The 23,377-nt window shown below is 49.7% G+C and overlaps 1 long non-coding RNA gene across 2 annotated transcripts, besides 3 other annotated features; it reads right to left on the bottom strand.

The window, feature by feature from the left end:
- Window positions 1-501: an enhancer, noted in NCBI's record as "H3K27ac hESC enhancer chr20:48990074-48990574 (GRCh37/hg19 assembly coordinates)". NCBI's record gives its function as "activates a minimal SCP1, AML or CMV promoter by ChIP-STARR-seq in primed H9 embryonic stem cells {active_cell/tissue: H9 hESC(primed)}" and the evidence as "EXISTENCE:reporter gene assay evidence [ECO:0000049][PMID:30033119]".
- Window positions 1,659-1,859: a silencer, noted in NCBI's record as "peak4249 fragment used in MPRA reporter construct". NCBI's record gives its function as "represses an SCP1 promoter by STARR-seq MPRAs in K562 erythroleukemia cells {active_cell/tissue: K562}" and the evidence as "EXISTENCE:reporter gene assay evidence [ECO:0000049][PMID:32103011]".
- On the bottom strand, window positions 5,172-23,340 carry LOC105372657 (uncharacterized). Of its 2 annotated transcripts, none has more exons than XR_936836.3 (3): window positions 23,028-23,340; window positions 9,557-9,707; window positions 5,172-6,603 (listed from the first exon to the last, which is right to left on the bottom strand). It is a non-coding gene; the product is annotated as an uncharacterized LOC105372657 (long non-coding RNA). The 2 variants fall into 2 exon arrangements; XR_936837.3 differs by having other exon boundaries at window positions 9,557-9,693.
- Window positions 18,501-18,713: a silencer, noted in NCBI's record as "fragment chr20:48971862-48972074 (GRCh37/hg19 assembly coordinates)". NCBI's record gives its function as "represses an EF-1alpha promoter that drives an FKBP-Casp9 reporter gene in an ReSE screen in HepG2 liver carcinoma cells {active_cell/tissue: HepG2}" and the evidence as "EXISTENCE:reporter gene assay evidence [ECO:0000049][PMID:32094911]".
- Window positions 23,341-23,377: the final 37 nt, after the last annotated feature.

Below are 23,377 nucleotides of genomic sequence, written 5' to 3'. Positions count from 1 at the left end.
TTGCTACCCAAAGGAAGTCGGATCACATCTCTCCTCTGCTCAACACCCTCCTCTGGCTCCCATGTCACCCACAGTCAAAGACAAGGTCCTGGCAGTGTCCCTAAATCCCGTGTGGTAGTACACCCCCACTCTGCCTTTCTGGCATCTTCCTTCCAGCCACACTGGCCTCCTCCCTGCTCCTGGAACACATCAGTCACACGGCAGCCTCAGGACCTTTGTACTTGCTGTTCTCTCTTCCTGAGACTCTGTGCCCTGAGAGAACCACAAGCCTCCCTCTCTCACCTCCTCCAGGTCTTCCCCCCATTTTATTTTTTCTTTGTCTTTTTTCTTTCTTTTTTTGAGACACCAGGCTGGAGTGCAGTAGCATGATCTTGGCTTACTGCAATCTCCGCCTCCTGGGTTCAAGCAATTCTCCTGCCTCAGCCTCCCGAGTAGCTGGGATTACAGGCATTCACCACCACGCCCAGCTAATTTTTGTATTTTTAGTAGAGACAGGGTTTCGCCATGTTGGCTAGGATGGTCTCAAACTCCTGACCTCAGGTGATCTGACTTCCTTGGCCTCCCAAAGTGCTGGGACTACAGGTGTGAGCCACCACACCCAGCCCTTTCCTCCATTTTCAAAGTATCTCAGGGCGTCCTAGACCACCTGCTTACATGAACAAGACCTCTGCACCAGCACTCCTCGCCCCTTCTCTCTGTGACATCATCACCAATTGACACTCGGAATTTTAAAATTTATTAACATTATCATTATTGTTAGTTTTGAACGTCTCTACCTAATGGGTTCCACAGGGCAGGATTGTTTCGGGGTGTTCGTTGTGGCATCCTCAGCACCCCCTGCCCGGTTCAGAGTGCTTGCATAATAAACGTTTGCCAAATGCATAAATGGGGATCAGGAAGGGGTGACTCCCCCCAGATCACCAGGTTAGAACATGAGAGCTGGGCTTGGAACCCAGGGCTGTGCACTCAAGCTTCCAGTGACAGGTTCCATGCCACAGAGATGGCAGCTGTTGCTGTCACGATTTTTAGGGTGATATTCCCATCGTTCCCCACCCACAGGGGAGAGCTAGGGGGCAAAAGAGAGAGGTTGGGCTGGCTATGGCCTCCAGCCAGTAAGAGGTGACTCACCCATCCCGTGATGACAGGTGGCATTCCTCCCCTTCCCTGGGAGGGTGAGGGGGGTACTTTGGCCTGAGATAAAGGGAGCATCCTCCTTCTGGGAAGAGGACAAACAGGTGGGAGAGACAGCCAGGTCACTGCCTGGAGGCTAGCATGTCTAGGCTAGAGGGTCACCAATTATGATAGGGGCAGCCCGGGTTGGGCTGGTTGGACTGACCCCTGAGCCTCCCTGGAGTGAGAGACTCAGGCGCTAGTCCTCTTACCAGGAAAATGGAGCTTTTCCTAAGAAAACAGCATTCCAACCTCTCCTTCAGCAGGTCACAGGGAAACCCCTCGATGTCCCTCCATCTTCCCCTTGGCATTTTTGCCTGGGTTGAGAGGGACCTGAGCCAATCAACAAACACTTTTTGAAAGAAACAGCAAGAGTCCCACAGACTCTAGCCAGACAGGCTTTATTTGATGTATTGATTTATTTTAGAAAAGTCTTAACTATGTAAATGACACTTGAATACAGTTCTGTTGCAGAAGACTCAACCGTCCTCCTCCCCAGTGAGTTTGCTGCCTCTGAAATTGCACTTGGCTGCAAGTAAAAAATAACAAACACCAGGGTTTCACCCAATGGGAGTTCACTTCTCTTGTGTAAAAAGAAGTCTAGAGGTGAGCAAGTCTGGGCTTGTAGGCTTGTTCAGGGACATCACCAATGACCAGCTTCCTGGTCTCCCATGTTGGTATGTGACTTTCAAACTCCTGGCTCAAGAGGGTTGCTTCTCAGCAAGGCAAGAGGGCAGGGAAGGGACAAAGTGTGTGCGCTCTGGGTCTCATGGCTACTACATTGCACCCGCGTGGTTTCAGGGGAGGCTGGGGAGGTCTTATTTCACTTGGGCACATTGCCGCCCCATTCAAAAGTGGGGAGAAGGGGTGATGAATGATGGCAAGCGCTAGCGGCCTGGGCCCTGGATTTCTTTTGTGCCACCTGATTCGAAACAGATTGCAAATGTGGTTTTGCAGCCCGCTTTTTTTGTTCCGCCTAACTATGTGTGTAGAGATTTGCCTTATCATTTTGATCTGCTACATAGTATTCCATGGCATGAATGCACCATGGTTTATTTACCTAATTCCACGTTCATTGATTTCATTGATATTTAGTTTTCCAGCCTAAACTTCACTATTATAAACAATACCACAGTGAGCATCCGCACACAGCTCTCTGAGCGCATGTGTATTTCTGCACAACTGGGATTGCTAGACAAATGATGCAAAGTGCTACCACACCACCGCCAGGGCTTTGCCAGTTTGCACTCCCTCCATCCACAAAGGAGAGGATGAGAGGGCCTACTTCCCCCACACTCACCAGCCTAGCTGTCTTTTTTTTTTTTTTGAGACGGAGTCTTGCTCTGTCGCCCAGGCTGGAGTGCAATGGCGCGATCTCGGCTCACTGCAAGCTCCGCCTCCCAGGTTCACGCCATCCTCCTGCCTCAGCCTCCTGAGTAGCTGGGACTACAGGCGCCCGCCACCACGCCCGGCTAATTTTTGTATTTTTAGTAGAGACGGGGTTTCACCATGTTAGCCAGGATGGTCTCAATCTCCTGACCTCATGATCCGCCTGCCTCGGCCTCCCAAAGTGCTGGGATTACAGGTGTGAGCCACCGCGCCTGGCCCCATCTGTCATTTAAAAAAATTTTTTCCCATTGTGATTATTTTTGTTGTAATTTTTTTTTTAGCTATAGCTCACTGCAGCCTCAAACTCCTGGGCTCAAGCGATCCTCCTGCCTCAGCCTCCTGAGAAGCTGGGACTACAGACTCACGCCACCACACCTAGCTAATTTTTAAATTTTTGTAGAGATGGGGTCTCACTATGTTGCCCAGGCTGCTCCCAAACTCCTGGCTTCAAGTGATTCTCCTAACTCAGCATCCCAAAGAGCTGGGATTACAGACATGAGGCAACCCCCCAGCTTTTTGTTATAATTTGAATTTCCCTTATTAGTATTAAGGTGGAGCCCCTTGTCATTTACATATAGGCTCTTTGTATTTTCTGATCTGTTCTTTGCCTTTTTAAATTATGTGGCCATTGTTTTGTACTTAGTTGGTTCCTTTCTTTTCCAATTATGTTAGTTCTTTTCTATTTTTTCTATTTTACAAAAAATGCATTGATTATGCCTTAATAAATGGAGTACATAATTTGTGTTCAGTAAACTACATTCCTTCAAAGCAGAGTTTCTCAACCTAGCACTACTGACATTTTGGGTCAGATAATTCTTTGCTGTGGCGGCTGTCCTGGGCACTGTAGGATGTTGAGCGGCATCTCTGGCCTCTACCCACGAGATGCCAGTAGCATTGCTTACCCCCATGATGACCAAATGTCTCTGCACTTTGCTGAATGTCTCCTGGGGGTAAAACCATGCTTGGTTGAGAACCTCTGATTTCAACTGTACAGTTTGATGAGCTTTGATCGATGTGTACAACCAAGAATCCACCCCCTCCTCCAAGATCTTTGCATTTCGTTATAAATATCCCCCCCCGTCTGAGACTTGGCCCTTCCTATTGGCGTAACCTCGGTCGAGTCACTTCATTTCTCTGAGTCTCAGTTTCCTCCACTGTGAAATGGAGATAATGATTCCAACCAGGCAATGATGTCGTGGGCCTCAGAGTGAACAACGCATGCGCTGGCATGTCATACGAGTGCAGTGAGTGCTAATTCTCTTGTCTTTCCTCACTGTGTGTGTATGTAGGTAGTCCATAGATATTACCTGAACACCTACTAGGTGCCAGGCCCTGGGCTAGGCTCTGGATACAGTGGAAAACAAGACAGAAAATGTCCATGTCTCTACTGGGGGAGACAGCGAGCAAAGAAGCCAACAAATGAATGAACAAGAGCAGGATTCCCCTACGACCCCACACAGACCCATGCTGGGAAGCAACAAGATGCACAATGTGGTGGAGAGGCACCGGGGTGGGCGGTGGTCTTTGGAGACAGTGAGGAGGTGCCGTCTAAGCTGAGAGCAGGAGAAGCTAGAGCAGCACGGAAGGGAGGTCTGGCCAGAGGGAATAGCAAGTACGGCAGCTGTTGAGGCTGGAACTTGGACCTTGAGAGCTACCATAAGGCCTTTCCCACGGCAGCCGACAGGGGAGGGGAACCCCAGCTCAGGCCTCTCGGGAGAGCAGGGAAGGGCAGGTGCTCAGGGCTGGGCCCAAGGCCAGATAATGTTGGGGAGTGGCCAAGAGTGCAGCAGGGCCAGGGCCAGGTGGGCTGAGGGCCTGGGACCTGCCTTACCTGTAGGCCCTTGTGGCGCCTCCTGTTCTGACTGTGGACTCTGCTCTGTTTCTGCAGCTTCCCCACCGGGTGGGGCCTTGCAGCCCCCAACTGGGTGCTTTTGGGGACACTGCCAGGCCAGACAAGTGTTGCTGCCCCCCAGGCACCGGGACCAAGCCCAGGGTTCTTATGTGTAATCAGCACCCAGAAAATGTGTGTGGAACTCAACTGGTGCCTGCCTCAGTTTCTCCACCTTGTATTTCCGGCCTCTGCAATTCACTCTGATTTGCCATATGTCACAACCAGCACTCTGTGAGTTGCAGGGGATGCTGCAATGACCACCATATATGGTCCCTGTCCTTAGGGAGCTCACAGTCTGGCTGGGCAGAGATAAGTCCATGACTGGCACTGTGGGGGTGAGTGTGGCAGGACCATCAGTGTCCACCAACATCCATCAGCTTTTTTCTCATACTGAGAGAATTTTGGAGCATTAGTGGGAAACATGCTAACATAATCGGCAGATAGTGATTCTATTTCCCGGCCTCCTTTGCAGTTAGGCATGGTCATATGACTGAGCTCCAGCCAATGGGATTGAGTAGAAGTGATAGCACTGCTTCTGAGTCATGCCCTTAAGAGGAATGACCCTTTCTCTCTCCCCACTGCCTGGAACGTAGATGTGACGGAGAAGCTATAGCAGCTGTTTTGGACTTGACTGGAAGCTATGGACTGAGGATGACAACAGCTAGATAGAAGGAACCCAGATTTCCAGAATGAGCTTACAGAACTAAACCTTCCCCAAAAGAGGCAAATTTTAAAGCCTTGGCAATGAGAATGAAGATTTTTTGAGACAAAGTTTCCGGGAGAAACATAGCATATAGGCAAATCCAGGGATAGGAGAGAACATGCAGACTTTGAGACACCTAAAGGAGTAGAGGGTGGCTGGACCGTAAAGGACAATGGGGCAGGTGAGATGGGGCTGGAGAGGTGGCAGAATCCACTTTGAGGAGCCTGAAAGAGCCAGGTTAAGCCCTTTAGACTTTGTCCTGTGGGTAAAGGGGAGCCATGGAAGGCTTATGGCAGGAGAGGGAGTGATTAGATTTGCTTCTTAGAGTGATCTCCCTGGCCACAGGGCAGGGGATGAATTTATTCATTTATGGGATTCAGGAATAAAATTGAGGCCCTACTATGTGTCAGGCACTGAAGGTTATCAGTGAACAAAACAGACCCAATTCCCACCCTCATGGAGCTGCAACCTGGTGGGGTGAGACATGAGTGAAATAATCACACAGGTAAATAAGAAGTATGATCAGGGCAATGGAGAGATGTATGTCAGGATGTGAGGTTTGTAATGAGGGATTCAACTTGGGGGGATCAGAAGAGCTTTCCTGAGCAAGGTGACAGGGAAACAGGAGCGGGAAGAGTTCCGTTCAGAGGGAACAGCATAGGCTGTTGATGCCCACACAGCAGCAGGGAGAGCGGGGGCTTGGTTGGTGTCCAGGTGGAAGATGATGGCAGAGCTGGAGAGACGTGGGCACAGATGGGGAAGGAAAGCAGGGACTCCTGAGGACCAGCCAGCTTCTGGCTTGAGCAAGGTGGGTACCAACAGAGGAGGCCAGTGGGGAGGAAATATGATGAGTTCAAATATAGTGTGTTGGATTTGAGGTTCCCATAAGCCAATCAAGTGGAGATGCTGAGTGGGGCTTTGCATACAGGGGTCTGGCACCCAGAGGGACTCCCTGGCCAATCGCGGTTGTGATCCTCCCACCTGGAGCACTGTGTGGACTCCCAGTCTTGAGCTTGCCAAATGCCAGCCTTTGGGGGCACCTCATGAGCACCAGGAGTTGTGCTTATGGTAGACACAGCACGGGTTGCCCACCCATGACTCCTTCGCTGACGGGATTCAGTTTTGTTGGTTGTGCATCTACTCAGGAGCTCAGGGACGGTGGCTATTCCTCGCCCCGGCTTCAGAGTGAGTTATAGGTCCAAGCCAACTGCAGTCATTCTCATTCCTCCATCAGTGACTGGTTTGGAATTATAGATGTAACGCCATCTTGGCCAATAAGAAGTCTGCAGATCTGCAGGGGGGAAATTTGGGAACAATTTTCTCCATCATGAAAGGAGACACAGGGGAAAAAATGCCCTCCTCCTCTTTGCTTGATTTTATCATGTCCCAGTGTGATGCCTGGAGCCACAGCAGCTGTCTTGAAACCATGAGGAGACATGTCCATAAATTGCTGAGAATGGCATAGCAGGAAGAAGAAAAGAATGTGAATCACTGGTTACATCTTTATGCCTCCAAATGAAACAACCCTGTTAAATAAAATTATAAGTCCTCTAGCTTTTTTTTCCCTCCTTTAGTCAAGTGTTCTGCTCCTTGCGGCTGAAAACATTCTGACTGAGAAAGTGTTCTTATGCACTATCTCACTTAATCCTCTCGTAAACCTCTGAGGTTGATATTACTATTATAGCCATTTTACAATAAAGAAACGGAGGCTTTTGGCAGTAAACGACTTTTCCAAGGTCACAAGGACAGTGAGTTACAGAGCTGGGATTGGAGTCAAGGCTCAAGGGTTGATCTGAGAGTGCAACTGAGCTATACCACAATTTCCTTTTAAAAGTCTTTCCCCTAACACGTTTTTAGTAGGGAACCATAACCCTGTTCTTATTTTTCTCTGGAAAACTGTGATTATGGTTGGTGGGAAATTTAGAGTGGGCTGCGTTTCTTTGTACACAGTTAATGGCTTTGATTATATGTTTCTGGCTTCTTTATTCTGAGAAAGGCTGCCATTGGCTGTGCAATATAATCAAATCATTTCTTATGTAAACAGCCATCTGGCACAGAGCCAGGGCAGTTCCATCAGCAGGAAGGTGAAAATGAAACTGTGTTGCCAGCCCCGGAAAGCAATCTGCTATTCAGCAGGAAAAGATCAAGGGTTAATGACATGGAGTTGGGCAAAGGCTGTTGCTGTGGCTCTGAGCATTATCAGGAGGCGGGGAACAAAGAATGGTTGTTAAATGGGTTTGTTACAAAAGTTATTTCCTAATGTAATTCATGCAATGCTTGCCAAACACCAGGCATATCCTTAGAAAGCAGAAGGGAACAAAAGGAAGGAAGGAAGGAAGGAAGGAAGGGAGGGAGGGAGGGGAAGGAGGGAGGGAGGGAGACTTTTATAGTCAATTATAAGACTCTTAGAAAGAATTACTATCCTTAATATACAAAGAGTTCTTGCAAAACAATAAGAAGAGGTAAACACCGTATTAAAAACCCACTATTCTGGCAGGCGAGGCAGCTCATGCCTATAATCCCAGCACTTTGGGAGGCCGAGGTGGAAGGATTGCTTGAGCCCAGGAGTTTAAGACCAGCCTGGGTAACACAGAAAGATCTCATCTCTACAAAAAATAAGGAAAATTAGACAGGTGTGGTGGCATATGCCTGTAGTCCCAGCTACTTGGGAGGCTGATGTAGGAGCTGAGATGGTGCCACTGCACTCCAGCCTGGGAGACAAAGGGAGACACTGCCTCAGAAAAAAAGAAAAAAAAGTATGAAGACAAGTTCCACCCCACCAGTTATCAATGATAAGCTACAATGATATGTCATTTTCTGCCTATCAGATTAGAAAAGACAAAAAAGATTGGCAACTCTCAGTGTTGCAGAGTATGGGATAATGGGGATTCTCATACTGTCCCGAACGGACTCTACAAGGGTCTCTGGGAGCAGAATGGCAACAAGCACCATGCTGTTCACTGGGCAGAAATTTTAAAGCAACCTGGAAATTTAACTTGGGGGCATTTATTCTAATAGGCCAAGTAGTCTCTACGGGGAAGGTCGTTCATTGCAGCATTGTTTATAATAGTGAAAAATTGGGGGAAAAAATTCTGAAATGCCAAACTACAGAAGATTCATTAAGCAAACAATAGTCCTCATATAATGAAATGCTGTATTAAAAATTTATGAAATTGCATTAAATAAATATAAAACATTGTGTTAAGCTGTATTAAAAATACTCATTAAAATGGCAATATAGAGGGCCGGGTGTGGTGGCTCACACTTGTAATCCCAGCACTTTGGAAGGCCAAGGCGGGTGGATCACAAGGGCAGGAGTTTGAGACCAGCCTGACGAACATGGCAAAACCCCATCTCTACTAAAAATTCAAAAATTAGCCGGGCGTGGTGACGGGCGCCTGTAATCCCAGCTACTCGGGAGGCTGAGGCAGGAGAATGGCTTGAACCTGGGAGGCGGAGGCTGCAGTGAGCCGAGATCATGCCACTACACTCCAGCCTGGGTACCAGAGCGAGACTCTGTCTCAAAAAACAAACAAACAAAAACAGCAATACAGAGAGACAGCCATGACATTGTAGAGAAAAGCATTTTCATGTGCATAATCTCATTTGTATTAAGTTGTGTGTGCAATGGGCATATATTAAAAAGAGTATTCTAAATGATGTTTGCCAAAATGTCGGCAGTGTTTATTTCTGGACAGTAGGATTTGGGGTAATTTTTACATTCCTTTAAATCAGGGTTTCTCAACCTTGACACTATTGACATTTTGGGTCAGATAATTTTCATTGCGGGGGACTGTCCTGGGCGCTGTGGGATGTCTAGTGGCATCCCTGGCCTCTCCCCACTAGATGCCAGGAGCTAACCCCTACCCCCTATCCTAACAACCAAAAATGTATCCAGATATTGCCACATGTCTCCTGGGGGACAAAACCACCCTTGGTTGAGAACTACTATTTTAAATGCTTTTCTGCATTATTTAAATATTTTAACAACAAGCATGTATTGTTATCATAATCGGAAAAACAAACACATTTTTAAAAAAATTCAGTAAAGTCATCTGTGGCTCTGTGAACTGACTTTGGATTTGGTCAGCAAAATTCAGTCAGAGAGTACAGAAATCTGTTATCTTCTTATGTTTGACAGAAGGTTCTGGTGAAATATCTGGACGTTTAGCAAAGTTTTCCCTGGGTTGGTTTTTGCTCAAAAAACAGCTTCTTTTTTTGCTATGGGTTTGAATATAATTAAACTCCTCGAGTGGATGCTTTGACGGTCTTGCCCACTTTCTCTTCTCTTGGTAACTACTCGTATTTTGAGGGGATTGCCACACTTCTCTCGTGTGGTCCCCCTTTTTGGGGAGCTGATCGCCTTCCTGACACCAAATCTAAGCTAATTTTCCAAATCTCACCTTCGGCTGCAGCCGCTGGTTCGAGGGCGGACATGTAACTAGGTTAGTTTGAGTCTAGAGAAGAATCAATGTCAGGGGCCTCTGGAGTGCATTCCAAGTAGCCACTCGAAGAGATCTTCATCTGGACAGAACGAGACCTGGAACAGTCATGCTTGTTTCAACGCCGTGAAGAAAACCAGCCAGAGGAAACAAACAAACAAACAAACAAACAAAAACAACACACGGAAGCAGAACTGGGTAAATCGCAGAGGAAAAGAGTTGAAGCTCTGATCAAACCAACCCTGAAGCTCACCCTTCTACTAGGCTTTTCATTAATACAAGCCAGTAAGTGCCTTTTATGCTTTAAATCAGTGTGAGCTGAGTTTCTATTCCTTGCAGCCCAAAGCTAACTTGTACAACCTCCTTCGATAAGAGGAACCTCTCCCAGAGTCCTGCATTCGTGTCATTTTAGCAAATATGTATTGGACACTTACTGGACACCAGGCCCACTGTCTGATCCCAGGGGGACGAAGATGATGAAGACACAATCCTGGCCTTTGAGGAACGTGCTGCCTGGTTGGGGAAGATGAGGGTATGGGATATGTGCCATGATGGCAGGGACACAGAGATACAGTCGGCTTGGGGTTGCAGAGAAGAAATCCTTGACTGAGCCCATCTGAAGGGAGAGTAGGGGAGGGAGAAGGGCGTCTGCCAGCCTGGATGCTTGAGAGATTGCTCTAGGGCAGGGCAGGTACCATGTGCAGAAAGGAAAGAGCTGCGAGATGGGGAGCATGACCCCAGAGGCCTCCGGGGTACCCCACATAAAGGGGGCTCAGGCAGGGCTGGGTCCCCCGAGAGAACCCCTGCAGCTTCAGAGCATGAGCCCCCCTCCACCTGCCCCTGCTTGGTGCAGTCCAGCTGCTGGCAGAGAAGGTGGGGGTTGGGGAGGGACCCCTTGTCAAAGCCCAGCTTTTTCATTCCAAGGATGGAAAAACCAAGATATCAGCAAAGATGGCACTTTATCACCAATATTCTTTCAACAGCATTCATTCCACACAAGCTCCTACGGCAGAGGGCAAAAGTCAACCCAGGCTTAGGGATTGGTGGGAGACAGATAATCACCTATAACCCTGAAAAATATAAAGCTTTGATCATGCTCTAGGGGTTTCTAACAGACGTTCCAGGGAAGTCAGGGAAGGCTTCTTGGAGGAAGAAGCACTTAAGCCAAGAGCTAAAGGGAAAGGAGTTCCCTTGGCAAAACCGGGAGGGAAGGGGTTTCAGATGGAGGGAACAGCCCGCGCAAAGGCCCTGTGGCAGAAAGGAACACATATGAGCAAGGGCTTTGCATTCACATCCTGCTTTTCATGGGTCCTGACCACAAGCCTGTAAGGTAGGTCTTCTTATCACCGTTTTAGAAATGAAGACATTGAGACTTAGAGAAGCAGTGACCTCCCCAGAGACACACAGCCAGGAAGCAGCAGAAATGGGAATTGAACCTGCATTCTTCATCATACCCTGGTATGTCCCTGGTGGGGGTCAACCAGCAGCTTTCTGACTGCTGGGATACTTCTCTTTGAGAACACAACAGTTCTTTTTTTTTTTTATTATTGTACTTTAAGTTTTAGGGTACATGTGCACAACGTGCAGGTTAGTTACATATGTATACATGTGCCATGTTGGTGTGCTGCACCCAGTAACTCATCATTTAACATTAGGTATACCTCCAAATGCTATCCCTCCCCACTCCCCCCACCTCACAACAGGCCTGATGTGTGATGTTCCCCTTCCTGTGTCCATGTGTTCTCACTGTTCAATTCCCACCTATGAGTGAGAACATGCGGTGTTTGGTTTTTTGTCCTTGCGATAGTTTGCTGAGAATGATGGTTTCCAGCTTCATCCATGTCCCTAGAAATACCGTTTGACCCAGCAATCCCATTACTGGGTATATACCCAAAGGATTATAAATCATGCTGCTATAAAGACACATGCACACGTATGTTTATTGCGGCACTATTCACAATAGCGAAGACTTGGAACCAACCCAAATGTCCAACAATGATAGACTGGATTAAGAAAATGTGGCACATATACACCATGGAATACTATGCAGCCATAAAAAATGATGAGTTCGTGTCCATTGTAGAGAACACAACAGTTCTAAAAGTGTGGTCCGAAGATCCCTAGGGGTCCCCAAGACCCATTAAGGGGTTCGTAGGATTATTTGCCCTGTTTACTCTCATTCTCACATGAGTGTAAAGAGTTTGAAAAGTTCATTGATAGATGTTTAGATTCCACATTGCATCTGAATTTAAGACATTACCACTGATTAGTTTTTGTGTAGCATTAAAGACTATTCATGGCTGGGTGTAGTGGCTCATGCGTGTAATCCCAGCACTCTGGGAGGCCGAGGCAGGCAAATCACCTGAGGTCGGGAGTTAGAGACCAGCCTGGCCAACATGGTGAAACTCCATTTCTACTAAAAATACCAAAATTAGCCGGGCATGGCAGCAGATGTCTGTAATCCCAGCTACTCGGGAGGCTGAGGCAGGAGAATCACTTGAACCCAGGAGCCGGAGGCTGCAGTGAGCCTAGATTACGCCACTGCACTCCAGCCTGGGCGACAGAGTGAGACTCCGTCTCAATATACATGTATTTCACAATGTGACAATATCCTCCCTTTTTCCAACGATGTGCCTTTGGAAGCCAGGTTTTCTCAGGTACTTCATCCTAAACAAAGTCTCACAGCAGATCCACTGCAGAAGCAAGTGTGAGGACCCGCTGTCCCCCAGAGGCCAGCTGTTACAGAGAGATGCAGAAATATCCACAATCCAACAAATGCCACTTTTCTCATTAAATTTGTCCATTTTAAAATGCATAGGTATTTATTATAAAAAATGTTATGTTCATGTAATGGATTTATTATTACATTTGAGTGAATAAATAAATATGTTATACATTTCTTAGTTTTCATTTCTAACGTGAGTATCGACTGATAGAATCCACACAAGCAAGAAGAGCTCCTTGGGGTTCTCAGCAGTTTTTTAAAATGTAAAGGGATCCCGAGGGCCACTGTCTGGGGAGGCTGCAGAACTGGCCTCTCTTCCCTGCCCTGCACCCACCTAGGCCCCTGCTCTCTTCCTTTCTCCCTTCCGTCCTTCCCCACTGTAAGTCTGTACTCAGTGCCTCCGGGAAGGGCGGGGACACCAAGTACGGGGATCCCAGGAGGCTTCCTGGCTTTTGAGTTTCAAAAGTTGAGAAGAGCAGGAAGAACTCACGTCTTGCAGAGAGCAAGGTTCCCCCACCCAGAATCAGAGCCAGGGTCGCAGGATAGGTACAGAGACGGGGTGTCAGGGGTGGCCCCCAGCCTGGGGCTGAGCCCAGTGAGGCCCAGAACCTCAGGTAGAAGCAGCTTTTCCAGGATTCTGGAAAGGCAGCCTCCAACCAGCCCTTGAAGTAGCCAGGAAGCAGCCAAATGACCCCCAGGACCAGGGGCAATGGAGAAGGGGCAGGCACAGAACCACGCAGGGCCTCAGGGGGGGGACCAGCCTGTGTCAGGCAATGCCTGGTGGGAAGACGACACCCAACACCAGTGCCTCTGTCCTCATTCCTATCCCCAACACCTTGGCCTCATGAAAGGCCAGGGGACCCAGAGCCTTCCCAGGAAAAGTGGAGTGGGGTGGTGGCGAGGGTGGGAATCACCGTCAGATGAAGCCTCCTCCAGCCTGGCATAACCACGACACAAGATGGAAAATCAGTTCCATTTGTGAAAACACAAAGAAACTCCACAGTGCCAGTGTGTGAACCGGGACTCATACCCACCCCGTGTGGAAAAGCCCCACTTGTGTGGGATGTAGCCTCCATGACAGATCTCTTTCTTTGGGCATCAGAGAGGTTGAGTCACTTGCGTAAGGCAGCTCAGCAGGAAGGGGCAGAGCTGGGATTTGCCCCAAGGCCCTGGCTCCAGCCCTCATGCCCTTGACCCCAGGCTGCTGACGGAGGGTGTTCATCCCCCAGGCCTGGCCAGAGTGTGAGGCTCAGAATCCCAGGCTGGGCCTGGGGGCACAGCCCCTGGGATTGGAGGATTGGACCCCAGCGTCCCTCAGGTGAGCAGAGGCCAGTCAGCCGTGCAGGGCGTGGTGGAGCTGGGTCTCTTGCCCAGGCTGTGCACCAGGTGTCCCCTCACCTGCTGAGTACCCCAGGAGGGGCGGGTGAGGGCCTCACCCTGCAGGACAGGTTCTTCAAGGTCCTCTGCCTGGGCGGAGTGCCTCTCACTCCTCCCGGAAGAGTAGACAAAGATGCCCCAGAAACAGGCCCAGAGAGGCCAAGAGATTAGCCAGAGGTCACACAGAAGGTCATGGGAGTGCCAAGACCACCCCTTACAGAGCCTTGGGGGAGGCAGAGCCCCTGAGGAGGGAAGCACAGAGCTGGGTCCCTGCACCTGCCCCCGCATAGAAGGCTCTTGGGGGACATGGGGGCAGGTCCTGGATGGGTTCCTGACTGAGGCAACACGGACATTGTCCGTGATGCTCCCCTCTCACCTTCCACATCTACACCATCGTAACTGTCGGGTTTATGCCCTAAATATCTCCTATATCCAACCACATCTCCTCACCTCCCTGGCCAAGCCCTGGGCCAGGCTCCTCCCTCTCACCCGTGGACTGTGGCCATCGCCCCTTCTCTGCTCTTCCTGCTTCCAGCCTCACCCACTCTCTTCTCCACATTCCTTCCTCTGCCTACGACCTTCTGTGACTCCCACTCACTCAAGAAAAAGCCCAGACTCCTCTCTGTGGCCACAGGGCCCCTGGCCAGCTCTCCTGTCTCATCACCACTTCCAATATCTGCTCCTTTGACCTGCAGCTCCAGTGAAATGACCTTCAGTTTCTGTCCACCAGACATTTACACATTCTAGTCCCTCTATTTGCACTATTTTTTTATTTGTAATAATTGAGGTGAAATTCATGTGACATGCGATTAAACATTTTAAAGTGAACAAGTCAGTGGCATTTAGGACATTCACTACGTTGGGTACCCCGTATCCTGGCACTATTTTTGCTGATCCTCCTTTTCATCCTTTCAGTCATCCAGACGTCACCTCCCCCAGGAAGCCCATCTTGACCCTCCCTTCTTCCCCATAGTTTGGATCAGATGCCTCTTTGGAGCTGCCAGGTCCCCTGTGGCTCCCCTACTGTGTTGTGTTGCCCGCTAGTGTGAGTGGGCTGAGGGCAGGAACCACGTCTGATTCTTGTCAGCACTCGCGGCACCCACACATGTGTGGACTTGGGGTGTGTTTGTGATGAATGAGGACAGAGGCAGAGACAAGTGGAGAGATGGTGAAATGTGAACTGAGCATCCCCTTCGCGCCAGGCCCTGTGCTCGGTGCTTGTGCGTGTCACGCGGTGGAGGACAGAGCAGACATGGAGCCCGCCCTTGTGGAGCTGACATCCCCAGGGGCGGGGTGAGGGGTGGGCCAACATGCCCCCTGACAATTACAAGATGGCATCATCAGGTCTCCGATGATGAGTATAAGGCATTGTGGGAGCACCCAGAAGCCTCCTGACCTGCCTGGGCTGGGAAGGTTCCTCGCAGGTGGCATCTAAGGGTTGTGAAATACACAGAGGGCTGAGCAGGGTGGGTGCAGAGGGCTGGTGGGGAGTGTCCCCAAAAGAGAGCACAGCAGGGACAAAAGCCTCGCCCAGGGGGTCCCGACTGCGGTGATTTTGTTCTCCCCGGGAACATTTGGTGGTCTGGAGATGTTAGTTTTCACAACTGGGGAAGGTGCTGCTGGCATCCAGTGGACCAAGGCCTTGGACGCTGCTTAGTGTCCTTCAGAGCACAGGACAGCCCTGCAATGGAGAATGGTCCAGCCCGAGGCTGAGAAACCCTGGCACAAAGGCAGGCCTTTGGGGGCACTAAAAGAAGCTCAGGAGAGGAGGCTGGAGGGGGCGCAGGCAGCCTCAGCCCCATCCAGGGCTTTGGATTTGGGGATGGGGTGTTCAGCCCAAGAGAAGACTTAGGCAGCAGAGGACCTGCTGAGATGCAGGGTTCAGGAAGCTTGCTCTGGCCACAGTGTGGACTAGGATGATACGGCTGTATGATCCAGTGGCAGAGAAGTCGAGGCAAAGGGCACAGAGAATGCAAAGGTCCTGAGGTGGAAACTGTCTGAGTAGGTTCTGGAGACAGAGGGGAGGCCGGCAAGTGCAGAGATTACTGAGAGACACCATGCAAGGCCACGGAGGCTGCAACAAGACTTAGGGGGTTAGTCCAAGAGCAGTGGGGAGCCCTCAAAAGTGTTTCACCAAGGGAGGGGCACTGTCAGCCTTGGGTCCTAGCAGGCTCCCCCTAATCCTGTGTGGAGAATGGATCCTAGGGGTGAGGGCGGTGCAGGGAGATGAGGAGGAGGCGAGGCTGGGGCCAGGTCAGGCCAGGAGCTGGAGTGAGGTGTTGAGGGGGTGTGTCCGCCAGGCCCAGCTCATGAGTTTGATGGGAATGATAAGCAGAGGACTGGAGAGTGGCTCAGAAGCTTCTAGCTGGCGAGGCAGCCTAGGCAAGGGGCCTTGCAGGCATCTCTTTGCACCTCATGGCTCCTGGGGGGCCGAAGGCCCTGATATCTATGCCTCCCACCCCTTCCTGGACAAGTCCAGCCTCTGCATAGATGTCTTCAACCCATGCACCTGCAGGAGGCAGCCCGGGATGCTTGCTGTTGGGATTTTCCCAGAGTTCCAACCCCAGGACACACTGCAACTCAAAGTGGAATCCAGCTGCTGGTGCTGCCTCTTAAAGAAAGGCCAGAAAAGGACAGAGCCAGAAAAAGCCCCGTGTTCCACAGTCGACTCTCAGCAGCGCCAGTCTCTGCTGTCTGCAGGGCCTGGGTTCGAATCCTACCTACGCAACCCCGTGTTCAGTGCCTTGGGCTCCTCACCGGTGGGGTGGGCACAGCAGCGCCTCCCTCAGAAGGCTGGTGATCATTTGAAAATGAGATAATTCATGGAAAGTACCTGGTGCATAGTCAGTATTTAGTAATTGTCAGTGAATATTACTATTATTATTAATTAGGGCATTGAAAATAATTCACACTTGCTCCCCTCCCCAGCTGGAAGGGCCAGTTTTGGCTTCAAATCAACCAGGACTTCATAGCTGACGCAGGGCCACACACAGAGCCCCACACCAAGCTCCCGGGGGATAAACCAGGGGAGGGCTGTTCCCCTCATAACTGACAGCCCAAGAAAAATTGCAGTTTGCAAGACACTCATGTGGAAATGGAGGACTTTGGAGCCATGAACCCACTCCCACACTCAGATGCCAGGGCCTCAGGCAAGTCCCTGAGCCTCTTGGAGCCTCATTCTTCCCATCTGCGGAATGGGAACTCTGCTGCCCACGCAGCTTGCCGGAAGGTGGAATTGAACCCTCTCTACTCTACTTTTGAGACACAGGAGGGGCTAACTCTGCCTCCCGGGGATGGCATCCTGGCCCCTCGAGGCCCCCTTTAGGGCTGAGGGCTCCTCTTTGCCAAGCAGCTCTTGTCTCACAGACCCTTGCGCCAGCCCTCAATTGTCCCAATTCTGCAGATGAGGACTCAGAGATGTGGCCAGGTACATCACAGAGCTGAGGCCATGCCAAGCTCGGTGCCCTCCTGGCCGAGGTGCCTCCCGCTTGCTCCCCTCTCAGCCCTCGAAGTCACTGCGACTCGTCGTCTCAAGCCAGAAAGTGGGGCCAGATGGTGGCAGATCCACGGGCGTCTGTTGCATAATTAAGTGAGGGCGAAAAATGTTGTTTGTAATTAAACAAGGGAACCAGGACAGCAGCAGCCTCCGCAACAGCTGGGGTGGCTCAGGAAGGGGAGGCCACCCCTCTGGAAGATTCTGGCTGGGGGTGAGGGGTGGGGGATGAAGCTTGCAGAGGTCGTGACCTCTGTTCCTCCCCTAACATCCCAGCTCCACCTCTGCCAGCTGCGTGGCCTTGGCTCCGTCCCCTCCTCTCTTTGTGCCTTGGTTTCCAGACGACGGCAACAGCGGGGCTTGTCCTGGTCTTCTCTCACCTGTCCACACCTCAGGGCCTTTGCACTTGAGGTGCCCCCTGCCTGGCAGGCGCTTCCCACACCCAGATCTTCCCAGGGAGGCCCATCCACCTGCCCCAGGTCACAGCTCAACTGCCTTCTCCTCCTAGCGGCTTCTGGAACCTCTCCCATCCTGTCACCCGCTTCTGTTTTCTCCACAGCCTGGCTTGGTGCCCTGCACACAGTAGGTTCTCAATAAGTACTTGTTAAACAAATGGAGAGCCCTGTGTCATTTGTCCCTTTTATCTGTCATTCTGTTTGCTCCAAAGCCATGAGGCCGTTTCACAGATGAGGAAAACTGAGGCAGGTGAAAGAGGATACACCTCGCCAGCCTCCTCAGGTGAAGCACGGGCGACATGGACAGCCATTGAGCTTGATCACCCCTGGGTTCAAATCCCAGCTCTGCCTCTCCTTCTTGGTAGGGGACCTTGGACAAGTGACTGTGCCTCTCTGTGCCTCAGTTTCCTCATGTGTAAAAATGGATGGTTATATTGAACTCTCAGGGTTGTTGCGAGTCAAAATGAAAGTGTTAAAGCAGGTGGTAGCCACTAAGTACCAGAAATAGTGTTCCATAAAATATCTGCTGAATTAAGGAAGTGAGAATCATTATCCACATTTCACAAATGGGGGAAACTGAGGCACAGGGAGGTGAAGCTAACTAAGCAATGAAACTGAGTATCAAACCTAAGTCCGTTCAACTCCAGAGGCCTCTTGTGCAATGAAAGTAACATTGTGGAAAATTCTAGGCCTCAGGACTCCCAAGTGATGGGAAGGATGGGAGACTACCTAGCATGTAAGAGGATGACTGGACAGGCACAGCCAACCTCCATGTGGGGGACAGGCAGGCAGCAGAGATGGCCCCGCCAGGGCCCACATGAAGGATGGCTGGACCTGGCCAGTCTCCACTCTCTGTCTTTCTGATATTCCATTAAGGAGTCTCGCTCTATCACTCTCAGTCCATGGAGTTTGAGCAAAGCTGACCCACCCCCAGCTTCAAGGATGTCGTTGTGACTGAGGACCTGGCCATGGGCCACGGGGCAGGGTGAGAGATGGCCACATGATCCAGTCACAGCCAATGAGAGCCAGTCTGGGGGCTTTGATAGGAATGGTTGAGAAAGAGTGCTGGAGCTTCCCTCTGGGTCGCTGGGCTGATAGGGTCATATTAGTATCAGTGGGAGTCGTAGTCACAGTGGCAGTAGCAGCAGCAGTTGTAGTAATAAAATGATAGCTAGTATTTACTGAGCATTAGGTGTGGTAGTTGGTGCTTCATATATATTGATTAACTCAGTCTTCCAGAGAGACGTGGAAAACAATATCATTCAAACACCTGGATCTAGCTATGCCTGAAGCAAGCCTCCCTGGAATTTTTTTATGTGACCCAATAAATTATCTTTCACCTAAACTGGTTTTAGTTGGATTTTTGTTCCTTGCAACTGAGACAGCCCTGACTAATCCACCTGCCTTCTGGATGTTATCTAGGCTTCCATCTCCCCATCATTACTGTAGCTGAAGCGGCGCACCCATTAACTGTTTTATGCCTGTTGCTGACTCATAGGTTTCCATTGGAGTTCTTGGTCCATCCTTCCCAAACAGAGGCCCCAGGCCTACTCCTTTTCCCATTCTGGCTGAGCAGGAGAGAGGGCGTGTAGGCGTGGTGCACACCTGTGTTCCAGGAAGGTGCTCCGTGGGGTTTGCTTGGCCCCAAAACACACCTCGTTATTAGTGTGATGACTGCTATTAAATAGTCTTCCCGAGCAGATCAGCTGCTTTGCATAAATGGTGATCTCACCAAGACTTCCCAACAACCCTGCAAGGCAGGTATTGTCATCCCATTTTAAAGATGAGGAAAATGAGGTTCAGAGAAGCAAAGCCTGAATCCCACAGCTCTAAGCAGCAGATCCTGCACTCCCTAACTCCAGAGCTGAGCCCCTTCCAAGAGCCAAGTTCACAGACCCTGGCTGCCAGAACTCAGGGTCAACTTGGTTTATAATATGTGTGACAAATCTATGTGTATGTAGAGTCTATGAGTGTGTGTGTATAGTACATGTGTCAAATCTCTATGTATGCAGTCTATATGTGTGTGTATAATATGTCTCGAATCCACACATACAAATAGAATGCAAATAAGTAGGTATTCTATAGGTAATCTATATGAATATCGAATGTGTGTCTAATATATGTGCCAAATCTATATGTATGCAAAATATAAATGTGTGTAATATATGTGTAGAACCTATATGAAGGTAGAATATATATGTGTGTGTATAATATACATATAGAATCTACATCTATGTGGACATATATGAGTGTGTGTGAAATATGTGCATAGGATCCATATCTACACAGGACATATATGAGAGTGTATGTGTGTGTGCGTGTGTGTGTCTAATATATGTGTGGAATCTCCGGTTTCACCTGCCCTGTATCTCTGCACAGCAGGTACATTGTGCAGTGAGAGAAAACAACGACTATCTTCTCCCACCTCATCCTGCACCACCCTGGACCAGCCATTGTTCCCTGCTCCCCTCTGGCCTCCCGCAGTCACCTGGCCTCCCTGCTCCGCCCCTACCCCAACCCATTCTCCCCTTGGGCTGGAGGGCTACTATTAGAACCGAGGTCAGGTCAGGACTCTCTGCTCAGAGCTTTGCATGGCTCCCAGCTCTTTTAGAGCAAAGTCAAAGTCCTCACAACAGCCCGCAAGGCCCTGCCTGGTCTGGGACCTCCCTCGTGGTTTCCCTGACCTCCTAACCGACCCTGTCTCCCTCTTCCCCTTGGCTGCAGCTCCGCAGCCTCTTTCTCTGGGGCCAGGCACGCTACAGCCTGTGCACTTGCAGTTCCTGTCCCCCACGCAGATCCCCTGCCCCGGATGTCACTTCATTCAAGTCTCAGCTGAAATGTCACCTCCCCGGAGAGGTCTTCCCAGATTCTCTCCAGCTCCTTCCCCTGTGTGGATGTTCCTAAGACGCTCCCATGTGACATTCTCCCACCACCCAGCACAGTGCCTGACATGCAGTAGCTGCTAAGCCACTGGCTGATGGGCGAAGGGGCAAAACCAGCCAGCGTTCAGGTCAGCGCTTGTCCTGCTGAACCTCCTCTCAGGCCACCCAGGATCTGCACGGCCTCACCTGGCCTCTGCCCACCACTGTTTTCCCACCAGCTCACCCACTCCACTTCCTTCTTGTCTGGGGCTAGAAGTTACCTACAGAGCCTTTCTCTGCCTACATTTAATGGCTGATTTTTACAAAAAAGCAAAAAGGCAAGTGTCAGCAGCAACACCCCTCACCTCCCATTCCAGGGTGTTTCTCTGTCACTGCTGGGCCCCATGGGGAAACTCTGCCTTCTGGGACAGTCCCGCCTCATGCGCAGGAACCGGTGTTCCAGGTGGCTGAAGTTTCCGGATAACTGAGGATAACCTCTGGAATCAAGGAATGGAAAAAGCGTGGCCAGTGGTTGACTCTAACCCACCAAGGGGCTCTGTTAGGCCAGCACTTTTGTATTTTAACAGCTCTATCAAAATATAATTCACCTACCATAAAATTCGCGCTGTAAAAATGTACAATTCAATGGTTTTAAGTACATTCACAGAGTTGTGCAACCATCACCACAATCAATTTTAGAACATTTTCACCACCTCCCCAAAACGCCCCGTATCCCATGCCTACTCCCCATATGCCCTCATCCCAGCCTCCCCAAACCACCAATCTACTTGCTGTTTCTACAGATCTGCCACTTCTGGGCATTTCCTAGGAATGGAATCGTGCCCTATGTGGCCTTTTGTGTCTGGCTTCTTTCACTCAGCACCACGTTTTCGAGGTTCATTCACACTGTAGCATGAGTTTGTCGTTCATTATTTTTATTGCCAACTAATATCCCATTGTATGGACCCACCACATGGGGTTCACCCATTCATCCAGTGATGGCCATTGGAGCTGTTTTCACTGTGCAGCTGTAATGAATTGTGCTGCTGTGAACATTTGTGTGTAAGTTTTTGCGCAGACATATACTTCTGTATCTCTTGGGTATATACCTAGAAGTGGAATGTCTGGGTCATGTGGTAACTCAATCTACACTTTTGGGGAACTGCTGGACTGTTTTCCAAATCGGCTGTACCTCTTTACAATCCCGCCAGCAAGATATGAGAGTTCTAGCTGCTCACACCCCCACCAACATTTGCTAGTGTCTGTGTTTTTGATCATTTGCCATCCCAGAAGGTGCAAGGTGGCAGGCCAATGCTTTGCCGTCATTAGTGGCAAACGTTTAAAAACTGGGACAGTTTCTTATTTTTTTATTTTTATTTTTTTGAGACTCAGTCTCTCTCTGTTGTCCAGGCAGGAGTGCAGTGGCATGATCTCAGCTCACTGCAACCTCTGCCTCCTGGATTCAAGGGATTCCCCTGCCTCAGCCTCCCGAATAGCTGGGATCACAGGCCACCACACCTGGCTAATTTTTTTTTTTTTTTTTGTATTTTTAGTAGAGACAGGGTTTCACCGTGTTGGCTAGGCTGGTCTTGAACTCCTGACCGCAGGTGATCTGCCCGCCTTAGCCTCCGAAAGTGCTGGCAGGTGTGAGCCACTGCGCCTGGCCTAAAAATTGGGAGAGTTTCTATCAAAATCTGGATCTCTGGCTTCTCTTGAGGAAGATGGCTTTTTGGCATGACTGGGATGCGTTCCCCGTGGAGGCTGAGTCGCAGCTACCCTCCAGGCCGCCACAGTCCTCACCCAGCCAACCCTTGTTGAAGGGACTTCAGGGCTCCTTTGACACTGAGGTCTGTAATATGTGTTTGAGCCCAGATGAGGTCCACAAAGATGAAGAACTTTCATCACTTGGCCTTTCTGGAATCGACTTTCCCTCAGGCCGACTGGGGGTTGAACCACGAATACATTTTCCTACATAGTATATCCCACATTGACACAGGGTACCGTCTAAGGGATCCCTTATCCAAAATGCTTAGGACCAGAAGTCTTTTGGATTTTTATATTTTCCAAATTTTGGAATATTTGCATATACACAATGAGATATCTTAGGGATGGGACCCAAATCTGAACATGACCTTTACTTATGTTTCATACAAACCTTATACACACAGCCTGAATGCAATTGTACATAATTTTTAATAATTTTGTGCATGAAACAAATTTTGTGTGCATCGCACCAACAGAAAGAAAGGCGTCCCACACCTATCTCAGTTACCCACGTGGACAATCTGTGGTTGTTTGGCATCACCCTTATTCCTGACTCTGAATTTATATGCTATCAATAAGCAATCATTGTCTCACACTTACTCACACATAAGTACTCCATGGTAAAAAGTATGACATAGCATTAATACAGTGGGAAAATAAGGAGTTCAGGGCGACCAAGCAGAACAGCGATATCAGCAGATAGGGGGCTCAGCCGTGAAACAACAGCGACAACAGAAAACCGCGGGCTTTCACTTACGGCATCAGGTCCGCACTCAGAAAGTTTCAGATTTGGGAGCATTTCGGATTTCAGATTTGCGAATTAGAGATGCTCAACCTGTCTTTTCACAGTGATCCTGGAAGGGATTCATTGTCCCTGTCTCCAGATGAGAAAATTGAGGCTTCCTGAGGAGACAGCACGTGGCCCGTCCTGGGTCACATGCTGGTGAGGGTCTGGGCTGGGATTCCAGGCAGCTGGTCTGACCTCCCCGCCCTGTGGTTTTGGTTTTTGGTTTTTTGCAGAGACAGAGTCTTGCTGTGTTGCTCAGGCTGGTCTTGAACTCCTGACCTCAAGCGACACCCCCATGTTTGCCTCCCAAAGTGCTGGGA

This window comes from Homo sapiens, chromosome 20, assembly GCF_000001405.40.
Source record: "Homo sapiens chromosome 20, GRCh38.p14 Primary Assembly".
Taxonomy (NCBI): Eukaryota; Metazoa; Chordata; class Mammalia; order Primates; family Hominidae; genus Homo; species Homo sapiens.
The sequence above is the reverse complement of the archived record's forward strand: the minus strand, read 5'-3'. Positions and strand labels throughout refer to the sequence as shown.